This window comes from Homo sapiens, chromosome 14 (genome assembly GCF_000001405.40).
Source record: "Homo sapiens chromosome 14, GRCh38.p14 Primary Assembly".
Lineage (NCBI taxonomy): Eukaryota > Metazoa > Chordata > Mammalia > Primates > Hominidae > Homo > Homo sapiens.
In genome coordinates this window covers 99,315,666-99,324,189 of record NC_000014.9, presented here as the reverse complement: position 1 = coordinate 99,324,189, position 8,524 = coordinate 99,315,666, and the positions used below count along the sequence as shown (strand labels likewise).

At 55.6% G+C, this 8,524-nt stretch overlaps 4 annotated features.

Moving 5' to 3' along the window:
- Positions 854–1,614: an enhancer, noted in NCBI's record as "H3K4me1 hESC enhancer chr14:99788913-99789673 (GRCh37/hg19 assembly coordinates)". NCBI's record gives its function as "activates a minimal SCP1, AML or CMV promoter by ChIP-STARR-seq in naive H9 embryonic stem cells {active_cell/tissue: H9 hESC(naive)}" and the evidence as "EXISTENCE:reporter gene assay evidence [ECO:0000049][PMID:30033119]".
- Positions 2,677–3,304: an enhancer, noted in NCBI's record as "H3K4me1 hESC enhancer chr14:99787223-99787850 (GRCh37/hg19 assembly coordinates)". NCBI's record gives its function as "activates a minimal SCP1, AML or CMV promoter by ChIP-STARR-seq in naive and primed H9 embryonic stem cells {active_cell/tissue: H9 hESC(naive and primed)}" and the evidence as "EXISTENCE:reporter gene assay evidence [ECO:0000049][PMID:30033119]".
- Positions 3,305–3,933: an enhancer, noted in NCBI's record as "H3K4me1 hESC enhancer chr14:99786594-99787222 (GRCh37/hg19 assembly coordinates)". NCBI's record gives its function as "activates a minimal SCP1, AML or CMV promoter by ChIP-STARR-seq in naive H9 embryonic stem cells {active_cell/tissue: H9 hESC(naive)}" and the evidence as "EXISTENCE:reporter gene assay evidence [ECO:0000049][PMID:30033119]".
- Positions 5,229–5,955: an enhancer, noted in NCBI's record as "H3K27ac-H3K4me1 hESC enhancer chr14:99784572-99785298 (GRCh37/hg19 assembly coordinates)". NCBI's record gives its function as "activates a minimal SCP1, AML or CMV promoter by ChIP-STARR-seq in primed H9 embryonic stem cells {active_cell/tissue: H9 hESC(primed)}" and the evidence as "EXISTENCE:reporter gene assay evidence [ECO:0000049][PMID:30033119]".

Here is an 8,524-nt window from a genome sequence, read left to right as displayed (position 1 = left end):
CAGCTGAAAGGTGGCTAGAGTGTCTTCACAAAAGACATCATCGAATTTCCCAATTAACCTTTTTTTCGATAAGGGAAACCCAAACATGTTTCTCATTTCACAAAATCAGGGGGTACAAACAGCATGATGACTCTGGCCACAAGGCAGTATTTCTGTGTTTCAGTGTCGCCTCCTGTGGCAGAAAGCGAAGACTCCCCCAAGCGGGGTCCAAGAGATTTCGGATGCCGCCAGTCTCCGCTTTGGCCCTGGCCCCCACCAGAGGCCCCTTGGACCCTGCCTGCCTCCCATGGTTGCCAGAGCCGGGGTTCCCAACGTCTCTGGACCCCAGAGGTCCACTGTTGCCCCCAGTCTCCCACAGAGGTGTGGGGAAGGCTTGGCCGCGCTTGATCCCTTGGCCCGGCTTGGTCCCTCTTGGGTGCAGCCATGAGTCCCTGGAGTAAGGGTGAGAGGCACCCACTGTCCTGTGCCCAGACTCACGTGTCCAGGGCCTGCCTCCCTGGGCAAAGGACTCTGTGCCTTGGTGTTTCCTTAGAGTAAGTTCCTTCCCAGGAGGCTTCCCTGTCCCTCAGACAAATAGAGCCTGGGCAGCCTGGCCCCCCAGTCTTCCAGACAGATAACTTATAATCATAATACCAACAATAGTAATCAGCTAACATTTAGTCTCTGTGCCAAGCATTTTATGCACATTATTTCATTTAATCCCCATTATTATCCCCATTTTACAGATGATAGCACTGAGGCCCAGAGAGGTTAAGTAACTTGTCTTGGGTCACACAGCAAATTCATAGGGAGCTGTACTCAAATTAAGGTCTGGCCAAGCCTGTGTCCTTAGTCACAATATCTGGAAATGTGTTAGTCCTGGGATGGGTGTGGGGTACAGTGGAGGTGAACAAATTGGGACCCCCATTCATAGCCAGTGTCTCCCCAGGCAGGGCCGCTGGGTCATTGGGAGGGAGGGGCTGGGCACATATGTCCTTTGGGCTTCTGCACCTGCCCTGGGTTGGGTAATGTCCCCATTCCGCAGATGAGGACACAGAATCCCATGTTCCGCGGTGACGTCACAGGGAGGCCAAGCTCAAACCTCACTGTCCCGATCTGTGGTCTCTGCTCTTCACTCCTACAGGGCTGGAGACCAGCCTTTGCCAAGACGATTTTCCAGATGACGCATCGTCAGCTTGGTAGGGAGGAACGTGTCCAGACGTTCTTTTTTGGGCTAGGGCAGCCAGGCAGAGCACTGGGTATGTCCGGCCTGGGGTCAGGAGGGGCTGGATCAGGCTAGGACACGACTCACAGAGGCCGGCATCCAGCACCGTCCACAGGGACAGGGCCTGGGTCGGAGATGCAGCAGGCAGGAGCTTGGAGGGGCACCAGCACTGCATAAGACCCCGGAAGAAGAGGTCAGGAGCCAAGGGCCAGGTGCACGTCAGGGGGCGGGGAGGGCTGGGGACACCGGCTGGACAGAGCCAGGGGCTGGCCTTGTCTCAGGCCACCCAGCCTCTTCCCAGACCTTCTTCCAAACCCTCTCTTCTCCCCCAGGGAACTGGAGGCAGGGAACAGGGCTGACTGGGAGGGAGAACTGCGGTGGGGAGGGGGAGTCCCCTTCACAGAGTCCCCAGGAATCTCCCCTGCAGGATCCAAACTTCTTGGAGTAAGAAGATGCTTCCTGGAGCCTTGGAAGGAAGAGAGAACCATGGAGTCCTGGGGTCACTGCCGAGCCCAAAGTTTGATCTTCAGGCAAATGCCAGGGCGGGAGGAGAGAGCGAAACACGTGGAAGATCAGCGTCCTCCATGTTGCCGGGAGATGCAGCTTGGGAGACAGAGGCTCCCCCACGCAGCCTGGCCGTCCCCCCTCTCCTTCTGGTTTCCTCCGGTGCCTTCTATGGTCAGTGATGGGGGCTTTGCAGCCTGGCTCTGGGTGGCTTTGGTGAGGGGCATTGGGGTCTCGTCAGCCTCTGCCTTCAGGGGGTCGTGGCAAGCAGGCAGAGACAGAAACAGGAGGTGATAGGGGATGATGTGGCCAGAGAGGGAGGCATTGACTCTGCCTGGGAGATCAAGGAGAGCTTCCAGGAGGAGGTGGCAGTTGAAATAAAGTGCAATTAGGTCAGAGTAGAAGAGGCGACAGAGGTGTGTTTTCCTCTATGTATTTGGAATGAAATTGAAGCTCAGAAATGTTAGATGGGTTTTGCCCAAGATCTTACAGTTAGTAACAGACAGGTGAGGACAGGATGTGAGCCCAGGCCATCAGCCTGCAGTCAGGTTCTCTGTCCAGGAGCACAGAGCCACTTTGATTCCTGAAGAGGCTTCAGTAACCAGGCCAGGGTGACCAAAGTGTTTGCTGGGGAAGGAGTGTGATTTGCTCATCCTGGGGCCTGAACTGGGGAGGGTGTCTTGGCACAGAGAGGAAGGGAATGTCCTTGCTCTCAAGGGCTGGACCAGAGAGTGGGGAAGACAGAGAATGGGGCTGCAGACACATCCTGCAACAGGGCCTGAAACCTCTCAGACTCTTCTCCCCCAGGGCTCTTGGTGTGCCTGTGGGTGAGGGGTGTGTGTGTGCATGAGTGTGAGTACGTGTGTGTATGACAGTACATGTGTGAGCGTGCGTGTGTTAGTGTGAGTACATGTGCATGGGTGTGTGGGAGTGTTAGTACATGTATAAGTATGCTTGAATTGTGAGTATGGGTGTGTGTGAGCGCATGTGTATAGGTGTGTGTGGGTGTGTGTGTGCATGGGTGCGTGGGTGTCTGGGTGTGAGTGCATGTGTGTGGGTGCGAGTGTGAGTGCATGTGCGTGGGTGTGAATGCATGTGCGTGAGTGTGAATGCATGTGCGTGGGTGCATGGCTGTGAGTGTGCATGCACGTGTGCATGTGTGTCCACCCTTAATAAACCTTGGGTGAGCGAACAATGCGTGAAGGCCGGTCCTGCCGAGCACGGTCGGTAGTGCCTGGGTTGTGTTTGGGCGAGGACCCGAGCCTGCGGGTGCTGCACAGGAGCCAGCCGTGTGCCCAGGAACCTGCTGATCACTGAGGGTGGGTGAGGACGGCATGGGCACATGTGTGATTTGGTGGCAGTGCCACGTGGTTGTGACATCCACACCCACGCTGGCTGAGAAGAGCAATGGAGCGCCTGAGGAGGTGGCCCGGGACCTTGGCATCACCGCAGAGCGTCCTGGGAAACAGGGGAGGCCTCCTCTGGGCTGGCTGGGGGCTCGGAGCCCTGCACTTTGAACATGAGCGGGACCATGACCTCCTGTTGAACCCCAGCTGGGCGGAGCAGGTGCAGCAGCCCTGTGGGGAAGGTGTGCCTGGGTGGGGTGCCCGGGTCCTTGGAAGGAGCTGCCCATTGGCCATCTGGCGTGTCTGGTCAGCGCAAGCTCACCCTCCCCACTGAACCCCCTCCTGGGGCTCTGATAGCGTGAGGGGTCAGGGCCCTGACTGTTGAAGGCTGTCAGGGGAGGAAGTAGATGCAGAGGCCACACGGGTGGGTGGAGGTGCGAACTCGGCCTACGCTTAGCGCCGGGGCGTTTTCTCACCTGTGGTCGGTCAGTCAGGCAGCTGCCCAAGCGCTGACTCCCACGGGCCACCTCTCCTCGGCCTCCCAGCCCCAAGGCCTGCGGAGGGGGTGCGCCTTCTCCCCACCCCCGCCCCGCCCCGCCCCCAATCACTCCCTGTGTGCAGGGCTCCGCAGGCAACGCCGCGCAGCTGCCCCTGGCTCTCCGACACTGGCATCCCTGTGTCCCAAGAAGCCTCCTGACTTCCTTGGGAGTGATACTTCCTAACCCATCTGCCACCTCAGTCCATTCAACTCAGCCGATGGGGCGAGTCCACCCTGTGCCCCTCCCAGAAGTCTCCACTCCCACCCTGGTGCCCGGGCGCTGCCCGCCACTCGGCGCACAGCGACCCTGGTGCAACGTGGAGCGGGGCAGGAGGACCAGGGTTCAGCAGCTAGCGTGGCGCCCCCTGGTGGCGAGAGCAGGAAGAGTTTGCAGTGCCCTCGGCCACACCCACATTGAGCTAGGTGCTTTCTGCATGGGTTTTAAAATGGGCAGGGAGGGGAATTTCCCTGAATACCAGTGCTGTGGGTTCACTGAGACTCCACGTTGTCACGCCATGCTGCAGGGAACCCTTAAAATTTGGGTTTCCACAAGATGCAATTCATCTGTATGTTTTGACCTTTTATTTAAAAATCACAAGTCAAACATTATTAAGTAAAGTAGAATAACTGTATTCATTTGCTAAGAAAACACTTCCCAGGACTTCCCTCCTATGCCAGGCTTTGTCTAGACGCTAGCAGGGAAAATACGGCAGCGTCTGTGCCCTCGGAGGCCCACAGCCCGCGTGGGGAGACGGATATTCCCAGCCATTCGATCCTCAGTGTAAGACAGGGGTAAGGGGTATTATGATTCCCATAGGACCTTATTTTTTTAGGTGGGGTCTCACTCTGTCACCCAGGCTGGAGTGCAGTGGTGAGATCTCAGCTCACTGCAACCTCTGCCTCCTGGGTTCAAGCGATTCTCCTGCCTCAGCCTCCTGAGTAGCTGGGATTACAGGCACCCGCCACCACGCCTGGCTAATTTTTGTATTTTTAGTAGAGACGGGGTTTCACCATGTTGGTCAGGCTGGTCTCAAACTCCTGAACTAGTGATCCGCCCACTTCGGCCTCCCAAAGTGATGGGATTACAAGCGTGACCCACCATGCCCGGTCTATGATTTTATAGATGAGGAAACTGAGGTTTGGAGACATGCAGAGCCACCTCATCATGGTGGTTCTACCAGTTCGGATCCTGCCTTGAACAAAATCCCACACAAGAAGGGAGTATAACACAGGGACTTTTTGCAGAGGTGGGAGCGGGTTTAAAGCTGGCCTCACCCAGGGGCCAGCTGCAGTGGGAAGCTGTGAGACCCTCAGCCTGAAGGCACGGAGAGTCCAGGGAGACCCGGAGGGGGCCCGACACAGGCTGGAGTCACAGGACAAGGCCATTGTGAGGATCTTGGTGCTGAGCCAAGGAGGGAGCAGGGGAGAAATACCCAGACCTCTCTCTCTGCCCATCTCCAGTCTGGGCTTCCCATCTCTGGGCCTGACAGGAGCCAGAGGGCTGAGTCCCCCAGGTGGTATAGGCCGTGAGTGAGGTCTGCCCCTGGGCCTTAGGCAGGACAGAGAAGGGCAGAGAATGAACCATGGGACGAGGAGGTCGTGGCACACAGAGAATCCCCTCAGGTGGCTTTGGGCCCTGGCTGCCAGTTCCAGGGTGCCAAGAGAAGCCTCACTCCGTATCTGCGACATTCTCACATATTTCAGGAAGACCCTGGGGAGAGGCAGCCAGGCCTGCGGGGCTCCAGGGTGAGCACAAAGACGGGGTGTGCTTGGCCCTTGGCTGGGAGTGGCCTGTGGGAAGCCAGGTCTTGGCCTTGTCAAGAATGCGGTGATGGATTTCAGAGCACAGCAGGGGCAGGAAGCCATAGGTCGAATGAGCCCCTGGAGGTCAGGGGCCCACCAGATGCATTCTCACCGTGCCCCCAAGAGACACATCCTACAGGCCCACTGCAAGGAGCGCAATGAATGATCACAGTAGCCACCATTTAGCGCACACCTACTGTGTGCCATGGCTGTTTGGGCTGCAGTTGAGTTATTCACAGAGGTGCACAGAGCACTGTCCCATGGCATGTGAAACCTTGTGGTGCAGTGACATTTTAAGCTACAAGGAATAACCCCTGACAGCCTGCATTGCCTTGGACTGTCACCTGCCCGGGAGGTGACAGCTTCTCTCCCGCACCTGGACAGAGGCTGCCTTGGCCTAGAAGAGAACACACTTTGCAGGAAACATCCAGGGTCCTGTCACTCAGCAGCTGCCAGCTCAGGACCTCCTGGCCAGGAACCCAGCTTCCCTGCCTCTCCATCCCTGGCTCAGTTCCCATTGTGTGGCCAGCACAGCTGTCGTTTCAGGGGCCACTGGTGGACTCTGGATGATCATTTACAGATTGGGAGGGCGTGATAAGGCTCTCATGCCCTGTATGGGTTATTAAGAAATGGCACCACAGGGGCCAGGTTTCCATGCCAGCTCCCCCTCACTGTCTCTTTCTGCCTATCTTTTATTGTCCACTCTTATCTTTCCCCCTCCCCATGCCCCACCCTTGTGCAGGTCCCTAAGACCATAACCTTCTTCAAACTGCTGCTGGCTTTTCCTGACCCTCTGCCCCAGGCCCGGAAGGTAACTTTATCAGCAGGGCTAGTGAGGGCTTGGCTGGGGCCCCAACCCTGTATGGCCAGAGAGGGGGAAATTCTGCCAGCAGAGACCCATGGCTGCCCAGTGATGTGGAGGAAAGGGATTGGAAGGCTAATCGGATCCAGACTCATCCCATCCTTGTCGACCTCAAACGCATTTCCCCCTGTCCACAAGCCAGTGCCTCGGGAGGTGGGCATGGGGTTGGATTGGCTCCATTCCTCCTGATCTGTTCTTCTTCTGTACGGTGACAACTGCTGTGATCAGAGAGTGAGGCAGTTGATGGGCACAGGCACCTCTGAGTCACCTGGGACCATTTAGGGACTCCTGGGTCTCTGTCTTTGCACCTTAAAATGGGTTCAGGTCCTGGTTCTGTTTAAACCTTCCCATGCTGGTGACAAGAATAGTTGCCTATGAATGTGGACAGCCCTCCTCAGTTTAAGAGCAAGCAGGATGCACTGGAAACTTCACAGGTCTTGTGATCAAATGAATCAGGTTTCAACCAGAACCCACTCTTCCCTCGCATGGGGGTGGAGCCTCAGTGTCCTCAACTGCCAAATGGAGCCACGATCCTCACGGCCACCATGAGTGGGATCAGCACCTGTTTGCTGAAAGGGCTCTCCACATGCAGCCAGGTGGAGAGAGGAAAGCTTTGGAATCATGGAGATTTGGGTTCAGATCTCTGTGTCTCCATTGGGCCAGTCCACTCCTCTCTGGTTTGCTGTTTAAATGAGGACAGTGACACCCACTTCTCAGGTGTTGGGGGAATTGAAGAAAGGTACGTTCTTGCTAGTGGCAAGTGATCAGCAAGTGGCAGCGGCTGGCAATGACACTGAAAGGAGTCATCAGCATCCCCATTTCACAGGTGAGGAAACTGAGGCCCCAGGAGGGCAATCAGATGAATGGTGCAGTGGGATCAGTCTTGGCCCTGGGCCTGTCTGATGCCCCAGACCATGCACTCCACTACCCCTCTGGGCCCCTTTTCCTTCTTGGCTGACCCACGCAGAAGTGGTTTCTCCTGGAGCAGGCCTGGCCTTGGCCACAGACCAGGGGTGAGTATGGCTGGAGTGTATCCGCCCTCTTTCCCCGAACCCAGGGGTCCTACCCCCTCCACCACCAAGGGAGTTGTGCTAATGGCATCGTGGTGGGTGGGCCTTGGGCATGTGTTGCCTACCTTCTGACCAGCATTGTGGGCTTAGAGGTGTCGGAAGGCTTGGCAGGGATGAAGGGGTGAACTAGCTCCCTCCAGCCTTGGTTCACTTGAGTCACTCTTCTCTGGTGCCCAACCCATGTTTGTTTTGTCTTTCTGGGTTTCAGCCCTTTGGCCAGCAGAGGTTAAAGATTACTGAGGCGGCTGACAATAAAAGTGCCCGGCGCGCTGGCCTTTGACCACCCATTAGAAGGCAGTGGGATCACACTCCCCACAACCGCCACAACGGCGAGAGTGGTGAGGGTGTGGACGAGGGCACGCCCTCCCTGCATTAATATTAAGGGGACAGTCGCTCTTGCCTGGGCAGTTGGGCCAAGTTTCTCTTTTATCTGAAGCCAGGGCCACAATGTGGCATTGTTCTCCGTCTCAAAGGCCATCATGCGGCCTCAGAGTGGACCCTGGGAGGGACCCCACCTGGCAGAGTAAACAGCCACCCAGAGGTGGCTGGCAGCAATGGGGAGGAGCTTTCTCTTTCTTCTGGAAGACATATATTTCTTCCGAGGGAGTCTGGGAATCAGAGTCCTCCAGGGGCCATTAACCTCCTTCCTGAACCTCAGTTTCCTCATCTGGATCAGGGTGCTTCGCTTACATCTGCACTCCAGGACAGGGTTATGAATCCTTCCTGTCCTGTGGACCTGAGGACGTTGAAGGACCCTCTTTTCAGAATGTTTTTTTAATGCATTAAATAAAACCAGAAGATCACAAAGGAAACTAATTATATTGAAATACAGCGATCAAAATATTTAAAAACAAATTTGAGATAATACATGTGTTCCTTTGCGAGTGAATTAAATAACAAGTTCTAGCCACAAGTCTACCGACTACTGCAATTTCAAAGGAGTGATATGTGAAAATTGCAAGTTATCTACAGCAACAAAGCCACAGACACTCCTTGTATTTCTGGGTTTTTTTTATGGCCTGTATTTTATTTAAAAAAAATGTATTTAAGATAGGCCAGGCATGGTGGCTCACGCCTGTAATCCCAGCACTTTGGGAGGCCTAGGCGGGTGGATCACTTGAGGTCAGGAGTTCAAGACCAGCCTGGCCAACATAGTGAAACCCCGTCTCTACCAAAAATATAAAAAAGTAACTAGGT